This window comes from Homo sapiens, chromosome 3 (assembly GCF_000001405.40).
Source record: "Homo sapiens chromosome 3, GRCh38.p14 Primary Assembly".
Taxonomy (NCBI): Eukaryota; Metazoa; Chordata; class Mammalia; order Primates; family Hominidae; genus Homo; species Homo sapiens.
This window is the reverse complement of record NC_000003.12, coordinates 100,140,629-100,167,263: the sequence shown is the minus strand read 5'-3', so window position 1 is coordinate 100,167,263 and position 26,635 is coordinate 100,140,629. Positions and strand designations below refer to the sequence as shown.

Sequence of the window (26,635 nt, the reverse complement as noted above, 5' to 3'; positions counted from 1 at the left end):
GTGAGTTTGATTCTATTATTACCTAGATTTACATTTTCTGAATTTGAAGCTGAGAAAGGTTTATGAACTCAAGTTGAGTGTCATCAGAATTGCTTGTAGTTTGAAAGAAGAATGGAAACTCCCTATATCTAAACTATTTCATTGCTGGCCATGAATAAATGAACAGTTGATATGAATAATTTAATTACTGCTGGCTACATATAATACATATTGAAGGGCCAGACACAGTAGCTCATGCCTGTAATCTCAGCACTTTGGGAGGCTGAGTGGGGAGGATCTCTTGAGCCCAGGAGTTTGAGACCAGCCTGGGCAACATAGAAAGACCCTGTCTCTACCAAAAATAATTAAAAAAAAAAAATTAGCTGCTTGTGGTGGCACACAACTATAGTCCCAGCTGCTTGGGAGGCTGAGACAGGAGGATCGCTAGAGCCCAGGAGGTTGAGGCTCCACTGAGCTGTGACCAGACCCACTGCACTCCAGCCTGGGAGATGGAGTGAGACCCTGTCCCTCTCCAGCCTCCCAAAAAATAAATTTTGAAAAGATAAAATTAGATTGACTTCACAATAGCCATGGTCTGAGTGGTAAACATGCAAACAGAATTTCAGAATCTCACAGATGGAACACATATCACATAGTCCATCTTCCTTATTTTTCAGATAGGAAATTAAGTCCAGGGGAGTACTCAGTGACTCGTCTCAGGTCAAACAGCAAATTGGTGGGGGACCTGGGACTAGAACACCATTCTCTGGATTCCTAGAGCAATAATGGCCTAATGTGTTATAAAACAAAAACGAGACCAAAACCTAAATTCCCAAAACCAGAGCAAAATAAGAATGAGTTTAAATAGATTAAAATCAGAGTTTACTTACTTTCTTTTAGGTATGAGGAAAGACTGTGAGTCAAATCATTGGCCTTGAGGAAACAGGAGTCTAGAAATATAATAAACATGCTTTGTAGATAATTTTGTAAACACACACACAATCAAAACAGATTATATGTGAGTTATGAGTGATGTATAAGGTTGTAAAATATTAGTGAATTGGGGGCCCATTTTATATCTTAAAGTGTTGCCTATATTTAAAATAACAGCAGCAGCAACAAGTAAACTTTTAACCTGTCACGGAGCTGCCCATAATTTCTTAGAGCAGTGAAATAGGAGCTTCTTACATCACTCAGCAGATTTATGAAGCAACTTTATTTTCCAAATCCATAAAATAGGGACTACACAAATGCAAAATGAAGTGGCTAACAAATCTATGTAAACATGTTGAAACTCACTAGTTATCAGAGAAGTGCAAGTTAATATAATGAGCATACTTTACACACTCATTAGAATGGCAACTATTAGCAATATGTATAATACCAAGTGTTGTTGAGAATGCAAGTTGATGGAAACTCTTGTGAACTGTAAGTGGAAGTATAAACTGGTATAGATATTCTGGAAAGTAATAATATTAATATGTATATACCCTATAATTCTATCATTTCAATTCAAGGTAAATAATAGAAAGAAATTCTTGCATGGTCTATTAAGGTACACACACAAGGATATTCATCCTGACATTATTTGTGATAGCAGGGTGCTTGAAGCAACCTAGGTGTCCATATCTGGGGAAATGGATGAGTATATGTGGTAGATGGAAACGCTGGAATATTATGTGGCATTTAGAAGCAATGAACTAGATATGCATAAAATTACTTAGTCATATCTGGAAAAAGTGTCAAGTGAAGAAAGAAACAGAACGAAAGCATTAGCACAAAGCCATTTTAGATACATTTTAATATGTATATACATACACAGGATGACATATTTTATAAGAATATATATATATTTTTAAAAATTCCTATCATATGAAAATAGAGTTTGGATTAGGGAAGAATGAGAATAATGTCTCAAAATACAACACAACATAACAATACAATAAAAAACAATATAACACATTAAAATAAAACAGGGGCTGGACTGATCAAAATGAAATTTATGTTGTGACCCAGCACATATAACTCATTAAGTGAGTAATTCAAAGCTGTTTTCTCCTATATTGTTGTGGAGCCTTTGGTGGTCTTTATAATGTCCCAAGCCTGGATATGATCAGACTCACCTGGAGAACTGAAGATACAGATTTCTGGGATGAAGTCTCTTTTGCATAGTGAATTAGAATCTCTTGGGGGTGGGCCTGGGAATCTGATTTTTAAGAAGTTCCTGGGTGATTCGGTTGCAACTAGCCTATAGGCAATTAGGAATCACTAATCTAAATCACACTGCAGCTCTCAGGAGACAGCAGAGAAGTTAATTAGCTCCGGGTGACTCCAACCTTGAAATCCTAATTAAGTGCCCATGTGTATGACATTAACAATGTACAGTGCACAATATTAATTGAAAAGACATGTTCCTGCCCTACAGACACAAACAACCTCAAATCAAAACCAAGTCAGAGGCTCGACAAACTAAATAGGAACAGTATGTTATTATTTATATCTACCTTATATGTGTATATATAAGGGGATTTATGTCCCTCCTTGAGCCTATTCCAAATAACCCACTGTATCTCCTTCCCCACATCTAGCTTAGATCTATTCTCTGTCCTTGGTCTCATCAGTGTAGTGACCAGGGCCTGTTCTCTCAAACCTTCCTCTGATGTCTCAGTTTATTGTGTCTTAAATGGCCTAATTTTTTTAACTAAAAATAAAAACCTGTCCTTTTTGGTTATAACGTTATTTCAAACATATTTTCCTTCCTCCCCAAACCATGACCACACATTCTTGCCTAACTATATTACTGAACTCTAATAAAACAATAATACCAAACAAATTCACTATGGAACTCAAATGACTCCTTAAAAGTTTCTTCTGAGCTTTGACTCTCTCTAACTCCAGAGAGGAGCAAGGTTTACGATGTTCCATGAGGTTACAGAACAGCAGTGGTCCCACTGCTCACAAATCCTTCCTAAGTTCAAGTTGCTCTAACAAAGAACTAGAATGGAAAACTGACCATTGAGTCACAGTAAAAATTAAACTTCAGTTAAAGCTTCAAAAGTGGTTTTGTTAGAATAGTTCCTGTGATAGTGCAGTCAGGACATAGTTTTCACAGCAGAGGCCGTGGTGTGCTGAGAAGAGTGGATTATAACTGCTATTGGAACTGTCTGGGCTTAGTAAGTCTAAAAGTCCAGATCCTGCTCATGTGCAAATGCACTCCTTCAATTCCCTAAAGGGTAATCTCCTTGGAAAACAGACAGGGCACTCATGTCTCCAAACCCAATGTGTGTTTTTGAAAAAGGATATCACAAAAGAATTATAAAAATTCAGGGAACAGATTGTTTTTCAGCTTCTCAAGCTTCTAGAAAGCATAAAGTTGTAATGGAAAACGGAAATCAAGCCACCCTCTACTTTTTCCAAAAGCAATATTAGATATGCCTAGTAGTCTATAAATAGCTCATCTGAAGCAGTTGTACCCAAACTTTTATGGTTTGATTTTATGACAACATCTATTTCCTCCCATCCCTGCCTAAAAGAGTTAAAGGATGCATTATAATTTTGAAATTAATTAAAATTAGTTGTTTAAGCTGGGTATGGTGGCACGTGGCTATATTCCCAGCTACTCGGGAGGCTGAGATGAGAGGATCCACTTAAGCCCAGGAGTTCGAGGCTGCAGTGAACTACGATGGTGCCACTGCACTCCAGCCTGGGCGACACAACAAGACACTGTCTCTAAAATAAATAAATAAATATTTTTAAAAAATTAGCTGTTTAAATTTTGTAATATCTTTTAGCTTAATTATAAATACACTAAGGCAGAGGATCTAAAATTCTAGTAGGCCTAAGAATCCCTTGAGGCAAAGTGTCAGCCTCGCAAAACATACAGAATTTTGTTCCTACCTTTTGACAGTTTGCTTGAAAGAGTCTGGCCTGCAACCTAAAATACTATTCTAAAAACCATGACTAGAAATCCATAATAAGAGCAACAACAAAACTAAATTGCTTATTAAGGCTAAAGTTCTTGTCTATAATAGTTGAGTAAATCAGTGTTTCACATCCATACTTTTAAATGTGTACTTCAACTTCTATCCTCATGATGAATTCCTACTCATTGAATAGTTTGTTAAAAATGCACACCCAACAATTAACCTTTTGAATAAAAAAATACAATCACAAATCTTAATATTAGATTTGACAAATACTGTTTAGCATCCAGTAAGGATATAATCTATCAGTTAAAACTATTTGATATAATCTATCAGTTAAAACTATTAGATTGAGGAAAAGAAGTATTATGTTTCTTTTTTTTCTTTGAGATGGAGTCTCGCTCTGTCCCCCAGGCTGGAGTGCAATGGCGTCATCTTGGCTCACTGTAACCTCGGCCTCCCAGATTCAAGTGATTCTTCTGCCTCAGCCTCCCAAGTAGGTGGGATTACAGGCGTGTGCTACCACACCCAGCTAATTTTTGTATTTTTTAGTAGAGATGGGGTTTCACTATGTTGGCCAGTCTGGTCTTGAACTCTTGACCTCAAGTGATCCACCCGTCTCAGCCTCCCAGAGTGCTGGGATTATAGGCGTGAGCCACTGTGCCTGGCCTGAAAGTATGTCTCTTTAAACAATTATTATTATTATTCTTATTTTTAATAGCGATGAGGTCTCACTGTATCGCCCAGGCTGGTTTCAAACACCTGGGCTCAAGCGATCCTCTAGCCTCAGTCTCCCAAAGTGCTGGGATTATAGGCATGAGCCACCATGCCCGCTGGAAAATGTGTTAATTGACTGCCTGAGACACCTAACCATAACAGATACTTATGTTTTGCTCCTTGTCTTTAGGAAAATTGAAGCTTGGCTATACCTGGCAGGTTCAGTTCTTCTAATTCAATCACCAAGCGTCTGCTGCTATAATAGTCCTTCATCAGCTTCTGTAGGTCTTCAGGTAACCCTGGTTTTGGTTCTGATTTTGCAAGAACATCAGTAATTTTCTTCTAAGATATGAGAAAGAAGAAAAATGGGACGACATATTTTAAAATGGCATTTGGTTGGAATAGGTTAGTTCCTCTGGCATTTAAACGGCACATAGCTTTTGGTGTTAGCCAAGTGTGAATGTGGGTTTTAATAAATACATTTGAGAAAATTCACTAAATACTTCTTGGACATAACTATTGCTTTGAAAAATGAAAAAATGATCTAGAAAGCTCCCTGTAACTCTTGGTCTATGACTTCCAAGATAACTAAATTTTTGCAGGCATCTCCATACTGGGGTATTATTTTCTGTTAAAAGTAAAGAAATCTCATTGCTATGGAGAGCTCTCTTTTAGCCCTAGATGATTTATATTCCTGTAGGATTAGAATTTTGAGAATTTCTTGCCCAATCTGGTTTTTGAGGTGCTGAGTCTTAGTTTGGATTTCTGTCATTAGTGTAAAACCCGCAGTAGGAATCTGAGCATAGGGGCCTACTGAGAAGGGGACTTAACACCCTCGATTCTCAGGTCTTGGATAACTGATGGTATTAAAGTGGCCCTATGCAAAGTAGAAAAAATATTACAGGAAATACTTTCCAACATCGATTTTGATTTGGACTCATTTGTGTAGCATGTATTGAATGCTGCAGTAGTAGAAACCCACAATCATTCATTTATTTCCATCATAAGCTTCCCTTCTCACTTCCTTCTAATGTTCCACCAAAGATCCAGAAGGAGCATTCCCCACCCCTGACCCCAGATTTTCCCCCTCCTTCTACAATATCCTCATTTCTAGACACTTGCCAAGAATGGTCAAGCCTCTGTCAAAGAAATTAACTTTTAAAAATATGTCATCAGTGGGCACATTTTAGTGTGACCTCAGTCAAGACTAAACTATCTAGCTAGAGTTTTGACCTTGAGCCACCAAGAACTTAACACTCCAGAAGGCCATTAGTGTACAAATTATCAAAGCGAAGTTAAAGTCACTTATTTAAGGACTTGCCAAACCTCAGCCAATTTGGCATCTCCCATTTTCCTATTTGGCCATTTGTAAGAAAAGAAAACATATGCACACACACTCTCAGTTTTCTAAAAGCTTGCTGTTAAGTAATAGGTTTGAGTCCATCTTCTTTCCTCTAATCCCAATCGTATTTCCTCGGCTGACTTCAGCAGCAGACCCCTCTTGGCAGGGAGAGAATTACACTGCTGTTTTCACAACTGTGGGAGAAGGTCATAGCTAACCATACTTTCTCCAAGGCTGAGCCATAAAAAAGTTTGTATATGAGAAAGAGTCTTTCCTGTGCTCACCAGCAAATATCAAAATGCAAGGTAGGGGAGCTTTTTTGACCTAATTTATGGTTCCAAATTAGTCAGAAGTGCCTCATACTACCTTCATCTGCTTATTATTTTCTTTTTATTCATACTTTAAGGTATAAGGTCTTAAAATCCGGAATGAATAGAAAAAGGAGGTTGGTATATTTCTTTTCATGGACAGAGCCAGAAGGGCCGGGGGAGGATAGCTCTGGACTCCTTCTAGAATTAGAAATCTATGTCTGACATCTGACCACACTGAAAACATAGGGTGGGTAACAAAGATATTTGGCACTCCACAGGACTGAAATAGGAGTCAGAAGAATTTATTCTTAGCTCCAACAGAAACACTTATTAGTAGTGACCTTAGGAAAGTCACCAAACCTCAAAGAATCTTACAATGTCTGCATCTCTTAGGTGGGGATTACAATAGTTGCCTCAAGAAAGTATGATATATAAAAATGTGATGGAAACCATGTGGGGCCATACAAATTTAAGAAATTATTAATATTACCTTTCTTCTTTTCCTGGTCTTGGTGGTATTCTCTTTTCTTTCCTTTGGTTGTATCAAAAAACATTCTTTAGGCTATTAAGAAATACAAATGAGAACATTTTAATCTTTTCATGATAAAGTGTCAATTAGTGGCATGAACCCCAAAGTACTTTCTGCCATGCATGTATTCTTCAGAGTATCTTGGTAATATTCTACAGAAAGAGAGATGCTGGAAGATCTACCGTAGGTTACTATGCAGCGGTTGGGCTGAGAGAATTTGAGAAAGTCAGAAAGCGCAGATGACTTAAGACTGGAGAATCTTTGAGCAAGATCAAATTGTGAGTGAGTGTATATGTGTGCTTGGTGTGGAAGTGCAGTGTATTGGAGATTGAAGACAGTGGCTGAGTTTGTATAATACAGCAGAAATCGATGTGATTAAAATTAAGATGTGGTAAGACAGTCTTTGACTAGAGTGACTAAGGTTTTCCATGAACTAGCTGTGTGTGAGCCTACATTTCCAAGTCACTGGTTTATTGTTTTGTATTATACATTCCTTTCCTCTTTTCAATAAGCATAGAAAATCCAAAGTAAGATATATTAACTTACGTTTTTATAAACCAGCTGCATCAAATGCCTTTGCTATAATGACTACAAAATGAATGTCTTTGCTACTAGTCTGATAACCGTCTCAGCACCACAGTATCTAGAGTAATCTGTTTTGCCTGTTGCCTTGACCCCTGAGTACCCCAGTTTAGTACTATTTTTACCCTGAGGGCTTTTTTCTAATGTAGAAAAACAGGAAATTTGGACTAAGACCTTGATTTATAAAATAGAATGCCCCAGATTCCATATTTATTAATCATAAGCAGGAGTATAAAATGTTTCCTGTGCTGGACCTTTTATGCAACATTGTCAAACAAGTTGCCAAGTAAGATATAAAATGTAAGTGAAAACTTATTCTGAGTTTTCCTTGATTAACTTTCCATTCCAACCAGAGAATACTCAGTTTAAACTGATAAGCTACTAACTAAAGCAATCTTGTCTCCACTGGCTCTGCTAAAATGATTACAGATGAATCTTTCTATGAAAGCTTGCAGACAGCCTGCAGATTGAGAATGTCTATGGCCTGAAGTCAGAGAGAAAGATATAATACTACATAATTTCTTCAAGACATGGGGCCAAAGACCCGCAGTTTCAAGATTCTCTTTTAGTTATTACAGAAATAGATTTAAAAAGTTCAGGATTAAAGTGACATGGGAAATCTTGAAATTTTAGTTTCCTCTAAGATAAAACAAAAAACCTGCAAAGAGCAATTGCATCATAGCTAAAGAAAAGAGAGATATGGCTTCTTTTATTTAGAAAGTTAAACTGTCTTGTGGATGTAGATACATGCCAATTTGATGCTGGTACATGCCAATTAGAGACTGTGCCAAGGCCACTAATATGTCACAGAAGCTGCCAGATGGCCATAAGAGTCCAATTACAAACCAGGCCAGTGTTCAGCTCATGTTCCTAAGGCAAAGGCCGGGATATGATTAGCAGATCCCTTAAACTATACTGCATTATCTCTACCAGTATCAAGGTTTTTGGGAAGCGTATTTAGAAACCTGTTACAATCTATTAACGTATGGAGGTGTTCTCGAGGAATATGTTCAGTGTACTGGTTGCATTTGTGCTAGGTTTACAAAGCCAATTAATTAAAACATGACATAAATTAAATCTAGAAATGAGCTCAATTGTAAGAATATGGACTCTTTAATTCTGGGAGAAAAAATAAAAATGTAATTCTGAATCATGCACAGGAAAACGAAACATGCTTGATGAACTGCTTTAGCCATGATATTGCTTCAGTTAAATGATAGGTTCAAATTCTTACATCATCCTAAAGGAAATGCAAAATAATCTTTGGTTTTGGAGACTAGTTACTTTAGCTGGCTGTGGTAGGGTGCCAATGAAGAGGCCAATTTTATGGGGTCAATTTCCATAGAGGTGAGATGACTTTATGGAGAAATCCAAATCCACAGTATTGAAAATTCTTACATTTAGTTAACTGCTTTATGAATGTTGCTGTTTACCCTCAGGGAGACTAGGTAGGAAGATGTGAAAGAATCCGGCCAAGCCACTAAGCATTTCTGGAAACCAATTCCAACACTGTGTGACTTTGACAGTTGATAAGTAATGTCATTTCTTTATATGAAATGTAGCAATTTTAAATATGTAGTCTGAAGAATCACACTCCCCTAAAAAAATGTTGCTTTTAAGGGAAGCAACTAGAGCATATTTTCAATTCCTTAAAGTATCAAAAATTACTTTAAGAATGATTCTCCTGGTTACACATGGCAAATGGACCTCAAAATACCAGTAAACTGAAAATAAAGGGCATTGAAAAGGACCTATTGAGCAGGATCTATATAAAAACCAAGAAACCAGGAGAGAGAACAACAGTAATGGAGAGATTTCAACAACTTTTTGGAAAATGGAAAGTGGCTGGAGCTGGATAGAAGTGACTTGGCACAGAGAGAAAGCTAGCAGCTGGGTTTCAGAAGGGGTGGAAGCTAACAATAAGTAAGTCTTTGACCTGCTCGACTCTGAGAAGGTCCAGTACTTTGGAGGCACAAAGTACTACAGAGAGTAAAGGGTTAAAAAAGAAGAGATTGGCTGAAAGTTTATATTTAGAATGATTAGCTACTCCTGTCCCCCACTAGGTGATATCTCCTACCCTGGTAGCCAAGCAACTATCCCATTACTGCTTCCTTTCACCTTGCCTGTCCTGCCAGCCGACTGGAGATCTATTCTCTGAAGACATCAAGAGGATCAAGGCTGGGCCAGGGGAGAAAGGGCAGAGGCTGAGGCTTGCCTCCATTTCCTGTCCCTATTCCATGCTTACATATTGCAGGCAGGAGACTACTGAATTCCTCTTTGGAAAAATGGAATGGCCTAAAAGAAATACCATCAGAGAGTGACGTTTGGGAGTTCCATAGTAAAAAATCCAGCTTGTTATCCTATCACCCTACCATGAATACACTAATTGACAAACCCAACTCATCACTGTTTCAGTGTATCTCTCTTCAATAAGAATGGATAGCTAAGGTTCCTCAGACATCTAAGGAAAGTCTCCAACACAAGAGCAAATAAATAACAAAAAGAAAAATGAACCTAGAGAAAAGTGGGATGGTACCTCAAAATAATGACAATTCATATCCTCAGAGAGATAAGGGAAGATTTTGCAACCATGAAACAAGAACAAGATGCTGTAAAAATGGGAAAAACAGTTAAGCATTAAAACAAATAAGAAATGTGGAATAAAAATAAACGAGGAAGGCTTGAAGATAAAGTAGAGGCAATGTCCCAGAAAGAGATGAAAAATGAAAAGAAAAAAGTGGTGAGAAAATCAGAGAATCAGCCCAAGAGATTCAATTTTTCAATAAATGATATTATAGAAAAAGAGATCACATAAAACAGTAGGGGGCTTGGCATGGTGTCTCATGTCTGTAACCCTAGTGCTTTGTGGGGCCAAGGTGGGAGGACTGCTTGAGGCCAGGAGTTTGAGACCAGCCCTGGTTACATAGTGAGACCCTGTCTCAACAACAACAACAACAACAAAAAACAGCCAGGCGTGGTGGCTCACACCTGTAATCCCAGCACTTTGGGAGGCCGAGGCAGGTGGATCACGAGGTCAGGAGATTGAGACCATTCTGGCTAACATGGTGAAACCCCATCTCTACTAAAAATACAAAAAATTAGCCAGGCGTGGTGGCAGGCGCCTGTAGTCCCAGCTACTTGGGAGGCTGAGGCAGGAGAATGGAGTGAACCCGGGAAGCGGAGCTTGCAGTGAGCCAAGATCGTGCCACTGCACGCCAGCCCGGGCGACAGAGCGAGACTCCGTCTCAAAAACAAAAACAAAAACAAACAAAAAGGCTGCGCGTGGTGGCTCACGCCTGTAGTCCCAGCACTTTGGGAGGCCGAGGAGGGCGGATTACGAGGTCAGGAGTTCAAGACCAGCCTGACCAACATGGTGAAACCCCGTCTGTACTAAAAATACAAAAATTAGCTGGGCGTGGTGGCGCACGCCTGTAATCCCAGCTACTTAGGGGGCTGAGGCAGGAAAATCTCTTGAACCTGGGAGGCACAGGTTGCAGTGAGCCAAGATTGCGTCACTGAACTCCAGCCTGGGTGACAGAGCCGAACTCTGCCTCAAAAAAAAAAAAAAAAAAAAAAAAAAAGAAAAAAAATTAGCTAGTGTGGTGGCGCATACCTGTACTCCTAGCTACTTGGGAGGCTGAGGCAGGAGGACCTCTTGAGCCCAGGAGTTCAACGTTGCAGTGAGCTATGATTGTACCACTGCACTCCAGCATGAGTGACAAAGTGAGACCCTTGTCTCTAAAAAGGAGTCATCAAAGACATAAAACATGACAAAATAAAATTTAAAAAAAAGAAATATATATGACAAACTTTTGTGTTGCCTGAAGGAAACTTTCTAGAACATAAAACTCCAGATTGAAAGCCCATTAGGTATAGGGTACTATGAATATGAAAAATACCCATACCAAGGAGCATCACTGTGAAATTTCAGAAAATCATGGGCAAAGAAGATTCTAAAATTTTCCCCTTCAAAATAATAACATACAAAATACAAAGGATCAGAAAAAAGAATAGTGCCAAGATTTCTAAAAAGCAATAATGGATGCTAGAACTTAATGGAATGATGCTTTCAAAATTATGAATAAAGTTTATTTGCAAATTAAACTTTTATACCCAGCCAAAGTATCAATCAAGTGTAAGAGTAGAATAAAGACATATTCAAATATGAAGTCTCAAAAAATTTACTTCCTACCTGCAGATACTGAAGGCTGTATTTCAGAATATAAAGGGTGAAACCAAACAAAAGGAAGCTATGGGATTTAGCCAAAAAGGAGTCCAGCCCAGGAGGGTGCTGAAGGGGCATCCTAGGATGACAGTTAAGAGGTCTCAATTGTTCAGTGGGCCTGGAGAATAACCAGTTTGGAGTGAAATAGAAATATGGAGTTTTGCAGCAAAACAAAACAAAACAAAACAACTAATCTATTTGAGCATATGGAAAATATTATTCATGGGAATGTGGAAGAGATGTTGGAACATATGGAAACAATTAACAATAGGAACAGAGTAAGCCAGGCAAATAAAGAAATGAAGCAACTGTTAATGCCATGAAAATAAAGAGCTGTATAAGAAAGGAGGGATGGTTATAGCTTCTTTCTCTCAGTGTTGAACAATATTTCCATCATCATAATGATGTAATAGTGACAACTGTTTTGACCAAAATGTGGTATCTTGTTGGCAGGGGAGGCAGCAGTTGGTGAGGAAATAGGAAGTATAATAGATAGGAGAACCATGTCCTCATATGCTATGTCAGGATGTCAGTAGATTATGTCAGAAATCGATAAGTCAAGAAATACCCGTGTAAACTGTAAGGCAGAAAGTAAGGAAAAAAGCTAGAGAAGCTGAAGTTTTCTCTTAGTAAATAAGTAATACTGTTTGATTTTTAAATTTTTTAAATTTTTATTTTTTGAGACAGAGTCTTACTCATTCTGTTGCCTAGGCTGGAGTGCAGCATCATGATCTCAGCTCACTGCAACCTCCGCCTCCTGGGTTCAAATGATTCTCCTGCCTCAGCCTCCTGAGTAGCTGGGATTACAGGGGTGTGCCTCCATGCCTAGCTACTTTTGTATTTTTTGTAGAGTTGGGGTTTCACCACATTGGCCAGGCTTGTCTTGAATTCCTGACCTCAAGTGATCTGCCCGCCTCAGCCTCCCAAAGTGCTGGGATTTACAGGCCATGAGCCACCACGCCCAGCTGATATTTTTTAAAAATATATGTATGATTATTAGGTTGGTAAAAATAAAAAAATTTAAATTGCCATTTTACAACAAAACAAGCATGTTCATTATAAAGATAAAAACAACTTAGAAGTGGCTTTTAGTTTCTTTTGGACATGGTCAAAGTTATTCAATACACACTCACCAAAATGTCAAACATTAAAAGGCCAATAACTCCAAATGTTGACAAGGATGTACAGCAACCAAAACTCTCACACACTGATAGTGGGGGTGCAAAATGATACATTATATAGGAAAAAGATCTGACAGTTTTTTTTTATGAAATTGAAGATGACTCAGCAATTGTCATGTATTTACTAAACAAAAATAAAAATACATGTTCTGCTCTGATGTGAACACTATACAAACATCACTATGTACCCCATAAATACGTAGAATTATTATGTGTCAATTAAAAATGTAAAAAAAATAAAAAAGCTTAAAAACCATTCCCCAAGAAACTTGTATGTGAATATTCATGGTGGATTTATTCACAATAGTGCCAAACAAGAAATAGTCCCAGGCTGGGGTGGCTCACACCTGTAATCCCAGCACTTTGGGAGGCCCAGGTGGACGGATCACTTGAGGTCAGGAGTTCAAGATCAGCCTCGCCAACAAGGTGAAACCCCGTCTCTACAAAAATACAAAAATTGGCCAGGCATGATGGCAGATGCCTGTAATCCCAGCTACTCAGGTGGCTGAGGTGGGAGAATTGCTTGAATTCAGGAGGCAGAGGTTGCAGTGAGCTGAGATCGCGTCATTGCACTCCAGCCTGGGCGACAGAGCAAGACTCCATCTTAAAAAAAAAGAAAAAAAAAAGAAAAAAAAAGAAATAGCCTCAGGTGTCCATCAATAGAGGAATGGATAAACAAAATGGTACATTTGTATAACTGAATACTACTCAGTGTTCTAAACTGAATTGTATTGCCTTGAAAGTCATATGTTAAAACCCTAACCCCCAATGCCACTATATTTGGAGATAGGGCCTTTAAAGAGGCAACTAAGGTTAAATGAGGTGTCATAAGGGTGGAGCCTCAATTCAATGTGACTGGTGTCTTTATAAGAAGAAGAGACACCAGGGATATGCACAGACAGAGAAAAGACCATGTGAAGACATAGTGAGAAGGCCATCTGCAAGTGAAGGGGAGAGGCCTCAGGAGAAACCACACCTGTAGACATCTTGATCGCAGACTTCTAGCTTTTAGAACTGTTGTTTCAGCCACCCTGTCTATGGCATTTTGTTATGGCAGCCCTAGCAGACTTAATGTGCTCAGCGATAAAAAGAAGTGAAATACTATACACTGACATGGAGGAATCTAAATAATACTGTGTCGAATGAAAGAAGCCTTAAACAAAACAGCATGTAACTGTATGATTCCATTTATATGCCATTTTAGAATAGGCAAAATTAATTTTTTAGAAAAAATATCGGAACAGTTGTTGCCTCTGAGGCAAGGAATTTAGCATCGTGATTGACCCAGGTGGCATGAAAGGATTCTGGGGGTGATGATCCTGTTTTTTCAATCCAGACTGGGCTTTGAATTACATAGTTGTATTTATTTGTCAAAATTCATTGAATGGTATATTTGACATTTGTACATTTATTGTATATTAACTTTACCTCAAAAGAAAATATACATACTTTAAGATAAATATTAAACATTAGTCAGTGATATGCATGCTGAAGTATCTGGAGTGAGTGTACTGATTTTGCAAACTACTCTGAAATGTGTCAAAAGTAAAGTGATTGATGAAGAATGCGCTTGAACAACACTATGAAATTTTGGACTTTGAAGACATGGAAGGTGAGGGCTTGAAGAAAGAAAAATCTTATTGGAAACTAAAGGAAAGGGGCTCTTTGTTATGCAGTGGTAGAAAGTTTAGCAATACAGTTTTCTGAAATTATATGGAAAATGTGTCTATTGGCAAGGGTAATCTAGCTAAGGAGATTTTCAAATAGTGTTGAAGGTGACACCTGATTTCTTCTTGGGTCTTACAGGAAGGCGTTGAATTGAGAGAAGGAAGATTAAAGATGAAATCAAGGGTGTGACTTAAAACCATTCGTGAAGACCTCAGAAGAAACAAAGATGGTGCCTCAGAATACGATTCAGTCACATAGGAGCGCTTTAAATAAATTAAGGGTGTGCTCACAGATTTTTTTAAACAAGCTGCCTCTAGGAAGCTTAAGGAATATTGCCTCATATTCTCTCAGCAAGGGCCCAAGGTAGAGAAGAGATTAGGGGTGTGACTTCTGCCTAATGGAGTGAACCCCCAGAAGCATCACAGGTGACACCCACAGTTTTTAAAGGAGGTATATATGCAGAAATACCACTAGTTTGGGCTGAGAGAGTCAGAGAACAATGAGAACAGAGGCCTTTGGACACGGAGAATTCTGTCAAGAAGCAGGCTGCATTAGCTGTTCAGTTGCAAACCCATTCTGCTTTTAATAGAAAAAAAAAAAAAAGAAGAAGGATAATTGGAGGACAAAACAAAGCCCCAAGGGCAGAGCCAAGAACCATGGAGAATTACTCTTAGGCCTCGAGACTTAATAAATAAACTCCTGATATTTGCTTGGATGGCCTTCAGAATGCTGTGTACCAATGACTCCATGTGCCTCCTATTTGCCTTCTTTTGAATAGAAATGTCAATAAAGGTTATACTACACTTGTCCCACCACTGTGTGTTGAGCATGTGGGAGAGGTAACTTGTCTCTTTAGTTTCACAGGTTAAGAAGAAGAAATGTACTCAAAGAGCTGTACTTAAGGAATTAAAACTGAGGAGCCCCAACTGCACCTGGACCTGATTTAGATGACAAGATTTTGGATATTGAGCTCACACTGCAATGGGATGAGACTTTGCAATCCTTGGAGGGGTGAGTATATTCTGCACATTGAAGGGATATAAGTCACTGGGGGGCCAGAGGAAGAGTGTGGTAGCCAGATTCCAGGATAGCTCCTCATGATCTCGATCTCCCGGTACTCATATTCCTTTGTAATCTCTTCCCCATGAATGTGGACTGGATTTACTAACTCGCTTAATATGGCAGAAGTGACGAGGTGTCAACTCTGAGAATAAACTATAAAAAGATTGTGGTTTCTGTCTTGGGTGCTTTTGCTGGTTCCCTCTTGGATCACTCGGCCTGGGGAAAGGCAACTGCAACGCTGTGAGGCAACCCTGTGGAGAGGCTCAAATAGTGAGAGATTGAGACGTGCCGGCATCCACACCAGTGAGCTGCAAGGTAAACTCTCCCCAGCTAAGCCTCCAACCCCAGCCCACAACTTGGCTGGTACCTGACAAGAGAAGCAGAGCCAGAGGCACTGAGTTAAGCCATGTCTGTGAGATAACAGAAACTGACATAATAAATGTTTTTGTTTTATTTTAAGCTGCTAACTTTTGGGCAATTTGTCAATGAAACAATAGATTAATACACAGAACAGAACTGAGAAACCATAATGAAAAGGAAAAAGGTGAATCAGAGAATGAATAGGACACAGCTCTGTTTTCTTTCAACAATAGATAAGCATAATCTTGGAGATGAAGAGTGGAAGAAATATGAAATGACCAATGGTCAAATAAAGTAGTAGCAAGAAAATACAACAGTAGAGAAAGGAGAGCAAGAAGGGAAAGGGAGAAACACTCCTGCTGAAGATTCCTTTATGATTAAAGGAGATAAACAAAGGCCAGCAGAAGAAAAAAGAAGTCCACTGTGGTCTCTGAGCAGGAGAAGATGGGTCATGGAACCACTGAAATGTTACTGACATCATGGAAGCATCAAGGAAAAGTCAAAAAATCCTTCATAAGGGTTTATATTCTGGGAACCATAATTACAAAGTCACTAGGGCTGGCTCTGAAATGACTGATGCTGAAGAGGGAAGAGGGTGATGCAATCTCTAGGAGTAGGGAATTCATCATTTATTTTGGAAGTGATTACTGGGGGAAAAAGAACTATTGGCAAATCTTTATACTCACATTATTAAGCAGGCCAAGGATGATTATTTAGATGTGAAATGGTTGCTAGAGATGAGGTAGTTGCATGGATTTAAAAACTTTAAAGTTATAAATCTGCTGCTTAAAATACTGAACAAACTAGAGGCATGTATTCAGCGACAGAAATGTGAGGCCCAGCTATGGCAAAGGAGGGAACATCATCTATCTTGACAGATGCTCTTGCCTGGTGATATTAAAGCCTAAATGTATATTACAGCTGACAGCATCATGCCAAGTAGTTCCTGTACAAGCATAAAGAAAAACTGAAGGAATAGTACAGTCTTAAGCAAAGTTGAAACAAATCTAAAATTTAAATATAGCATAACATTTTTAAAAAATTGATCCAGAAAAAATGCAGTTATATTTAGAAAACATACATCTGGTCATATCTGCCAAATAAGAGCCCCAAACTGTGTTAGGTACTATAGTGGACACAAAAGAAACCCTGGCCCCAAGGGACTTACGAACCAGCTGGAGACTCAAGTTCTATGCGTGTAAACAATTAGAGAAGGACTCCTGAAAGGACAGACAGTATGCCTGACAAGTAAGTCATCCTTGGGGTGGTGGGATGAGTTCCAGAGGGAGAAGAGCAGTGGGAGAGAGAGGATGAAGGAGGCCACAGGGGAGTTGGAGGGACTGTGTGGGCAGGCAGGGATGGAGAGGACAGACCCCAGCCCTGAATGTCAAGGTGGAGGAGCCTTTCAAGGAGGGAATTGTGTTGGGAAATCAGGGATGTGGTTGGAGGAGGGATAGGGCATCACAAGGCCCCAAGAGACCTCTGCAGGCAGCTGTGTCAGGGAGGGGACAGCTCACAAGCTGGGACAAAGGGCTGAGATGGGAAGAGTCATGAGAAAACTGGGATACCGGTATGGTCATTCATTCCTTCATTTCACAAATAATGAGTGCCAATTAAGGGCAAGGTTCCATGTCAGGCGCTGTGGAGACGCACAGATAAAATCTGTCCTCGAGGTGAGTCTCCTGGGGATAAGCAGGGACCAAGATGGGCAACACTCATATGAGGCAGAGGAGCACATGCAGATTCTCATGTCAATTCAGAAAAAAATGATATTTCTCTGGCCAGGGAAATTAGGATAGGGTTGGAGAAAGGGGTTAGGACTTGGACTCTTCAAAGCAATTTGGTGGTGAAAGAAATTAAAGCAAGAGAAAAGTGATTAAAAGGGGGCAGTAACAGCTTAAGGTTTTGTAATTATTTTTTTGCTTGGCAGAAAATAGCAATGGCATGTGACCAACAAAACACATGAGAACACGGTTAATCCAATTTTCCTGAGCTGAAAGAGAGAGGACAGGTAAAAAGGAAAGTGAAAGCAACAGTATCCTTGGAGTCTGGCTCACAGCCAAGCAGATGGGCCATGACCCCCAGAACCCATCTCTCTGAGCCTCTGGTTCTTTGTAAAGTGGGTACCACCTACCTCCTAGGGATGCCGTGAGGATTATGTTACAGTGTGCCTTATACAGTAACAGTATTAACTGCTCAATAAAAGGTCTTTATTGTTTTACCAATGAGTCCAGAAAGAGCAAGGAACAAACAAGAAGAAAATCAAGGGGAAAGCAAGAAAAAAACGAAAGCCAATGGAGTATGAAGAAGACTACGTGCAAGTAAGTCCTGTAGGTAGACATTGATTAGAGGCAAAAGTCAGAGAGGGCATGACTATGGTATGATTAGTGGGATAAGCTAGGGAAAAATTAAACCCCACCTTGAGGAAATAAATTGAAGAGCTACGGATGTGTTACCCTGTAGGTTTCCAGAAGAATGATTGAAACTAAAACTAGTATAGGGCCTTTGAGCAAAATATTTAATGGTTGGAGAAAAAAAACCAAGATGATTATATATTAAACATGTATACCTTTCTGCATGTCCCTTCCCAGGAAGAAAAAATAATGGACAAAATAAAAAAGATTATAATATAATTATTAACTATATAATAATTAACACTTCAGTGATTACTCTCTGATAACCACTGTTTGAAGTGCTTATCAAGCACAGTCTTATTTAATCATCATTACAACTCTGTGAGGAAGAAATAATTGTTATCATTTACCAAGAAGGTGACTGAGTCACAGGGAAATTTAACTTGTCCACTTCGGTGGGCAAGTTAAGCAACACTACACTAAATTGCTTCTCACAGTTATCCTGAGCTGGGTCACAAACTTTGGGTAGAATAACACTCTGGTGTAATGAGTTTAAAGCACCTACAATAAGAATAAGACCCCAAATTGTTGCAATGAAAAATATAGTAACTTTGGATTGGTAATAGACAGTCCTTTAAAAGATCACACATAAGCCAGGCACTGCGGCTCATGCCTGTAATCCCAGCACTTTGGGAGGCCAAGGGAAAGAGGATCACTTGAGCCCAGAAGTTCGAGACCAGCCTGGCTAACATAGTGAGATCTCATCTCTACAAAAAGATAAAGAAATTAGCCGGTGTGGTGGTGCACATCGATAGTCCCAGCTGCTCAGGAGACTGAGGTGGGAGGATCACTTGAATTTGGGAGGTTGAGCCTGCAGTAAGCCATGATTGTGCCACTGTCCTCTAGCCTGGGCAACAGAGCAAGACCCTATCTCAAAAACAAACAAACAAAACCCCAAATCACATAGATTTATTAGGTTGGTGCAAAAGTAATTTTTTAAAATTAAAAGGAATGGCAAAAACCACAATTACTTTTGCATCAAACTAAATACCAATCAGGTTTGATGGAAACCCAATGAGAAAAAGCTACAAATGGATGTGAGTGGCATTTCTAAAGTCAGTAGGAAGATTAAAAAGGCAATAAAAGGTCACAAGTTTAGGAAAAAAGATTATCCAAATGGCCAATTCTGGTAATGGCAAAGACCACGAATCACCTGTTAAGAATGCATATGACAGACCATAATTCTGGGCAGAAATAAGGTCCCAGGAGCCTGCTGGCAGCATGGCCTGGTGCTGTAATCATGCACTCTAGTGTGTGATAACCTTCTCTATCTTTATACTATTTATCTCCTTTTAGGAGTTGTACCCAAAAGCATAAGGCTGGATTTTTGGCAAAAATGTGATGTAAGAATCTAAGATATTATTGTGAAATGCATTTATATAGTTAAAAAACATTAGGAACCAGGAGCAGTGGCTCACACCTGTAATCCCAGCACTTTGGGAGGCCAAGGTGGGTAGATTGCTTGAGCTCAGGAGTTTGAGACCAGCCTGGGCAACACAGAGAAACCTCATCTCTACAAAACATAAAAAAATTAGCTGGGTGTGGTGGTGCATGCCTGTGGTATCCCAGCTACTTGGGAGGCTGAGGTAAGAGGATTGCTTGAGCCCAGAAGGTCAAGGTTGCAGTGAGCCATGATTGTGCCACTGTACTACAGCCTGGGTGATAAAGCAAGATCCTGTCTCAAAAAAAAAAAAAAAAAAAAAAAGAAAAAGAATTAGGGCAAAAAACAGAACTTGCTGGTTTACAATGAAGGAAGCATGGCCCATGGCCTTTTCAAAGGGAAAGAAAGTAAAAGGCTCTCTTAAATCCCACCAACAACCGATATTAGGACATGGGGAGTTCAATAGAGAGGAGGAAAAGGCTGATTTCAGAATTTAACAGTGGTGGCTCTCCCACAGTGACCCCTCACCTGTTTGGTTTTCTCTGAAGGTACAGGAACTGGAACTGTCTCCTGCTGCATCACTTCTGTGTCTCCTTCTCCTTCACCATCTGATGCTTCTAGAAAATATAAAGTTTGAAAATCAGAAAAGTCTCTCTCTCTCATTGCTAGTGCAATCTTGGTACCATCTTTCTAGAAGGTTCTATCTCTTCACTTTTTAATTCTACCTCAAAGAAGCTGCACTTAAGGAAATGGTCCAAAGTAAAACAGATATTTAAGCACTAAGATGGCATTCTCATTTATAAAACTGAAAAACTAAAGATAACTTAGATGTGTCACCTTAGGAGGGAATGTTTTGTCACAGAACACTCATACAAGAGGACGTTTTACAGCCTTTAAAAAGTGGTATTTATTAAGAGTTTACAATGACAAAAGGCTGTCTTATGATGATAATAGTAAGTGGTCAGGGCTAGAATTATTGAGTGGTTACTACATGTTTAACACTATGCTTCACAGACATTATTTAATTTAATTCTTACAATATAACTACTGATTTTACAGATATGAAATCCCTCTATTCTTAGATAAAAAGACTGCTGTTCAGAGAGGTAAAGCCATTTGCCCAAGGTCACACACCTGGGAACTAAAGTCTATTTGAGTCTGAAGTTATCCCCAGCAAGTGATGCCTGCACCCAGAACCAGCCAGGCCTTGACATCAGATGCTGGCCCCAGGAGGAAATGTTGAGAGATTGTGACAAAGGGATTACAGGTCATGAGAAATTCTTATTTTGAATTTTTTAACCTTTCCACAATAGAAAAAATAAATTCTTACCCTAAGAATCAGGAAAAATAAAAGTTTTAACAGTTTTCCTATTTATAAAGCTCTTCTGAAGAAACACGGTGACCAGAAGGTTCTTATTTCCCATAATGTCGCGCTGCCTTTCAGATTTTAGTGCTTGCTTCCTTTAAACAAATTTTTGATCTATGAAAGACTTTACTCATTCCCTTGAGTTTCTCTGTATATCTCAAAGTGAGCCTCAAATGTGAATATGTGAACATGTTCTGTCAGAGTTCATATTTAGGTCCAACTTAACCATTTTGTTAAGCCTGTGCTTTTAAATGTTTGCATACTGTGATGGTCAATCTTATGTGTCAACTTGACTGGGCCATGGGGTGCCCCGATATTTGGTCATACATTCTGGGTGTTGCTGTGAGGGTATTTTTAGAGAGATTAACATTTAAATGGATAGACTGAATAGAACAGATTAATTTCCATAATGTGAGTGGGCCTCATCCAATTGGTTGAAATAAAAGCACTGACCTATCCTTGAGTAAGGGAGAATTATTCCTGCCTTTCAACTTGAACTGAAACACCAGCTCTTCCTGGGTCGCAAGCCTATCATGTTTAGACTAAAACTGCATCATCTTCTCTAGTTCTAAGGCCTTTAGACTAGGACTAGAACTAAACTATCAGCTCTCCTGGATCTCCAGTTTGTCAACTTGCCATGAAGATCTTAGGGCTGGGCTGGCTAGCCTCCATAATCATGTGAGCCAATTCCTTAGAGTAAATCTCGTTCCTTATATAATCCTGTTGGTTCTGTTTCTCTGGAGAACCCTGACTAATATGTATACTTTTTTTTTTTTGAGACGGAATCTCTCTCTGTCGCCCAGGCTGGAGTGCAATGGTGTGATCTCAGCTCACTGCAACCTCCGCCTCCCGGATTCAAGCGATTCTCCTGCCTCAGCCTCCCGAGTAGCTGGGATCACAGGCACCCACCACCATGCCTGGCGCCTGGCTAATTTTTGTGTTTTTAGTAGAGGCAGGGATTCGCCATGTTAGCCAGGCTGGTTTTGAACTCCTGACCTCAGGTGATCCGCCTGCCTCGGCCTCTCAAAGTGCTGGGATTACAGGCATGAGCCACCATACCCAGCCTAATATGTATACTCTTAAGTGTGTAGCATGAGAAAAAAAGCCTACCCAAAAGGGTAGTGAAAAATAGCAGGCAGATTAACAGGGCCTTCAAAAATGAACAATTAAATTGTCATTAAAAGTATTTATAGGATCTCTGCTTCTAGGAAGATAGCTGTAGTAGTTACACTGTTCCCTACCCCTCTGGCGAAGTACAATGAAAAATCCTAGACATTACATATTTAAAAAAAATAGAAAGACTCTGAAAGGTGGAGATAAGATAGCAGACCAGCTAGAGATTTTAGGGACCAAGAATAATTCAATAGCAAACTCCCTGGGTTATCTTTTTGCCTCATTATCCCAGACTAGGAGCTGAAGAAGGCAGCTACCTGGAAATGCCAATGGAAGCCAACCAAAAAAGCCCCAACAAAAGTCTGCTCTCTTTACCAAAATGACCACGAAAGAGGAAGCCTAGCAAGACTAAAACCTTTCAGACAATAACCACTTGACTGTAGCCAAACAGCACAGAAAAAACTATGACCTCATCCTCACCACCAAAGACAGAATGGGGAGCCTAGACTTCCACCCTTGACAGGGTGTAATGAGGCACCCCATGATGGACCCCTGAAGGCTCCATCTCCTACCAGGGTGATGTTGGAGACAAACTGGGAGCTGGGATTTTTATCCCCAGAGGGTGGTAATGAGCCCTCATCCATCCCCAACTTCACCACCACCACCACCACTGCAGTATCAATGGTGACCACATGAGGAGCCTGGACTTCCATCCCCTCCTGGCTGTAATGAAGTATATCTTTCCTATCCCACTGGGATGGTGTCAGAGGAAGCCTAGTGGACAGTTATGACTTTCTATATCACCCAGCAGTAATGAGGCCAAATCCACACTAATAGTTTCAGCAACCATTAAAAAGGCTACATAGAGAGATGTACTCAAAAACACTGAGATAAATCAAAGTGGGCTTCTACAATATGTTCAAGTAACCCATAGGAAGATAGGGGACCAACCCCTACTCCTCCCCCGCACAGAGATGGAAAAATTAGTGATCAAACAAAAGAAAAAAACGTATACACAGATTTAAACCCCCAACATATCAATGAATATATTAAATGTAAATAGCCCAAACATACCAATTTAAAGACAGAGATTGACAGAATGAATTTTAAAATATGACCGAACTATATGCTGTTATAAGAAACTTACTTCAAATATAATGATATAGGCAAACTGAAAGCAAAGGGATGAAAAAAAGACATAATATGAAAATATTGGTCAGTGGAAAGCAAGAGTGGCAATATTAATTTCAGGGAAAGTGGACTTCAGAGCAAAGAAAATTACCAGAGAATGAGAGAGACATTATATAATGATAAAGGGTAATCTGTCAAGAAGACATAGCAATCCTAAATGTGTATGCACCAAACAGCAGGCTCTCCATGCTTTGTAGAAGTACAAAGCATGCAAAGTAAAAACTAGTAGAAATAAAATGAGAAATAGATAAATCCATAATTGACTTGTAAACTTTAACAGTCCTCTCTTAAAAATTGAGAGAATGACTAGATAGAAAATCAGCAAAGATATAGAACTGAGTGGCACCATCAAGCAATAGGATATAATCAACATTTGTAGAAGAATCCAATCAACAACGGCAGAATACACACTCTTTCCAAGTGTCACAGAGGGTCTACCAAGACAGACTATATTCTAGGCCATAAAACATTAACAAATTTAAAAAGAATTGAAATTGATAAACAGCATGTAAAAAAACTTTCAGCAACATTATGGCTAATAATGAAAGGCCAAAGCTTTGCTCCTGACTGGGAACAAGGCAAGGATGTCCGCTCTTACCAGTCTTATTTGACACAGTGCTAGAACTTTTAACCAGTGCAATATGACAAGAAAAGGAAATAAAAGGCATATACATTAGAAAGGAAGATAGCAAACTGCCTCCATTTGCAGATAACATGATTGTGTACATAAAAAATCCCAAGAAATCTAAAGGCTACCCCAAGTTCTGTGAAAATTCTTATATTGGCTTCTATCAATGGGGGCTCCTTTCTCTTAATATTCTCCAACCCATCTTCATCTGGGATCCTTAAGGGAAACTATGTTTCTCCTTCTTCCTCTTGCCTCTGTACTTCTTTCTACACTGTTGGTAGCCTGTACCTTGTAAATTGGCACATAATTTTACCTTGTCTTACAATGTGTACTGGTGTTGCATAAATGTTAGGTTTTCTCTCCATCTGAACTGTAAACTCTCTGAGGGTACATATGAGTGCCCAAAGTACTTGACCCAGTGTTGACTAAAAGTAAAAAGGACTCCCCATACCTATTGCTTTATTTACGTTTTTATTATAAAGTAACATATATTCTCTATGTAAAGCATTTAATCCCTTATACAAATTTCCTCATATCCTCATATCATAAAAATCCTTTGAGGTAAAAAGAATGACCTACAAATAAATGTCAGGATCAGCCCCATAAATGTTTAAAAATCAATGAATGATCTTAAAAAATAGAAACTCTGTATTCCTCCATTCTTCAGAATCTGCTAGCTGAAGAACACAGTCTATATTTAAGCAATCTAGTTGAAAATAAATACAGTAGTCCCTTGGTATCTGTGGGGGATTGGTTCCAGGACCTGTTTCACCTACCAAAATCCACAGATGCTCAAGTTCCTGATATAAAATGATGTAATATTTGCATACAACCTATGTACATTCTCCTGTATACTTTAAATTATCTCTAGATTACTTATAATACCTGATACAATATAAATACTATGTATAGAGTTCTTACACTGTATTGTTTATGGAATAATGACAAGAGAAAAAAGTCTGTACATAGTAAAGACACATTTTTTTTCAAATATTTTTGATCTGTGGTTGGTGAAATCTACATATGTGGAGCCCATGGATATGGAGGGCTGACTGTAACATATTTTTAAAGATGTGTGGCACTTATGCAACAAAAACTATGAGAAAGATTTAAAATACCTTGCTTATAAAATGCTCTAAATCTGTTACTTCTTGTTCCAAAAAGTTATTTTATGTGACACCTTTTAACATATAAAATGAGATCATCTTATATCACTGTAAATTGGATAATTTAGTTGTTTCCTTAGCCTGTGATGTTTTTTGATTCCAAAAGAAGAAACTGCTTTTCTGAAGTAAGGATGCTAGTTCTGTGATTTCCATTAAGAGAATATTGAAAGAAAAGTATGGGGACCCAATCTAGCCAGGTTGGCTCCAGTACTCAGGTTCCTCCAGGACTGCTGGGATTCGAGGAGGCTAAGCTGGGCCTGTGCCACTCAGTCCCAGTGGTTGATTCAGCCAGTTAAGTGGAGTCACTAAGACTGCACTGCCTCTTCCCCAACTCCTTGAAGAGTCTACTTAAAAAAAAAGACACTGCCAGATGGGATTGGTTAAGTTATTCCAAAAGAGGAGTCATCAAGTACACTGTCCTTTTTCAACCCCTGGCAACAACAGCAAATGAAAATATAAGGTTGCACATCTTCTCTTTACCTCAATCCCTACCTTCATCTTCTTTTTGATAAGTATCTGAAGTTCAGTTTCCCATCATTTTCCTTAGGTTTTCAGGTATTTGCTTGCACAAACTCTTGAAGACACTGGGAGGGGCCCTGGCAATGGGATCATACAGTCAATTGTTCTTTAAAATGTGCAAAAGAGTACGTTAAGACCGCCGTCTTCACCACAATATGTTAAGACCATTGTCTGTTTCCACTCAGAATTCTCCTGCCACGTATCTCCCAGGGAGTAGTGCTGGATGGCTGGGAGCATTTTTGGGGATCCATTTAGAGGAAGCTAGTTGCACATACATTTAGTTTGAATTTAATGGGATTTTTATGTGGTTTGCAATCACTTTTGTCTATGATCAAATGATTGCTAGCTGTTCTAGTGCTGGCATCCTGCACTAGACATCCTGTGCTAACTCACCAGACATTCTGACACAAAGTGGGCAAGGCTAGAGGGTGTAGATCATGACACAGATGTGCCTAGAGCATCAGTCCCTAGAACCATGTGGGAAGTGGAGGAGGAACCAGGTTTGGAATGTAGGAAACCTCAAACTAGTCAGTGGAAGATTCTTCCAATCATAAAAAATATAAAACTGTAAGTAGAGAATTAGGTTCTCATTTTTGCCTATTTGAAATGGAACGTCTCTCCTGTAGGATACATATAGTAGATGGTGCACTGTATATGACTGAAAAGAAACTATGTTTTTTCTTTATTTGATGAGGATGAGTAAAATACCAATTTTCAGAATTGCTGTGGTTGGGGCAGTACTGTTATTTTTTTCTTATTTAAAATAACTTCTTTCATATCCAATTAAAAAAATTTTTTTTCTTTTATATTTAATTTTATATTAGGAATTTTGCATTCTTTTTCTAAGAGAGGGCCCATGAAATTGCATAAGCTCAGGCCTCAGAAAAACCTACATCTGCCCTAGCGAACAACCTTGCTCCTCTGTCTTTATTAGTTCTCACAGTTAAGAACAACAGGCTAGGGGTTGTAGCTCACGCC

At 39.0% G+C, this 26,635-nt stretch overlaps 1 protein-coding gene and 1 long non-coding RNA gene across 7 annotated transcripts in view, besides 1 other annotated feature; one reads left to right on the top strand and one right to left on the bottom strand.

Annotated features, from left to right (window-relative positions):
- The window catches only part of CMSS1 (cms1 ribosomal small subunit homolog), a 363,871-nt gene that overhangs the window by 14,469 nt on the left and 322,767 nt on the right, over positions 1-26,635 (bottom strand). For both annotated transcript variants that reach the window (NM_032359.4, NM_001167924.2), the window contains exons 2-5: positions 20,203-20,291; positions 6,763-6,834; positions 4,832-4,961; positions 870-929 (exon numbers count right to left, since the gene is read on the bottom strand). In NM_032359.4, the coding sequence (NP_115735.2) occupies positions 870-929; positions 4,832-4,961; positions 6,763-6,834; positions 20,203-20,291 (351 nt within the window). The remainder of the gene's footprint in view (positions 1-869; positions 930-4,831; positions 4,962-6,762; positions 6,835-20,202; positions 20,292-26,635) is intronic.
- Positions 6,560-25,633, top strand: LOC105374009 (uncharacterized). 5 transcript variants are annotated; one of them, XR_007095984.1, is made up of 5 exons: positions 6,560-7,079; positions 14,596-14,737; positions 15,314-15,468; positions 18,114-18,200; positions 20,757-25,633. It is a non-coding gene; the product is annotated as an uncharacterized LOC105374009 (long non-coding RNA). The 5 variants fall into 5 exon arrangements; XR_007095983.1 differs by lacking the exon at positions 6,560-7,079 and adding an exon at positions 17,810-17,890 and having other exon boundaries at positions 12,790-17,127; XR_001740460.2 differs by lacking the exon at positions 6,560-7,079 and having other exon boundaries at positions 14,429-14,737.
- Positions 22,603-22,722: an enhancer, noted in NCBI's record as "active region_20151". NCBI's record gives its function as "activates an Ori minimal core promoter by ATAC-STARR-seq in GM12878 lymphoblastoid cells {active_cell/tissue: GM12878}" and the evidence as "EXISTENCE:reporter gene assay evidence [ECO:0000049][PMID:35858748]".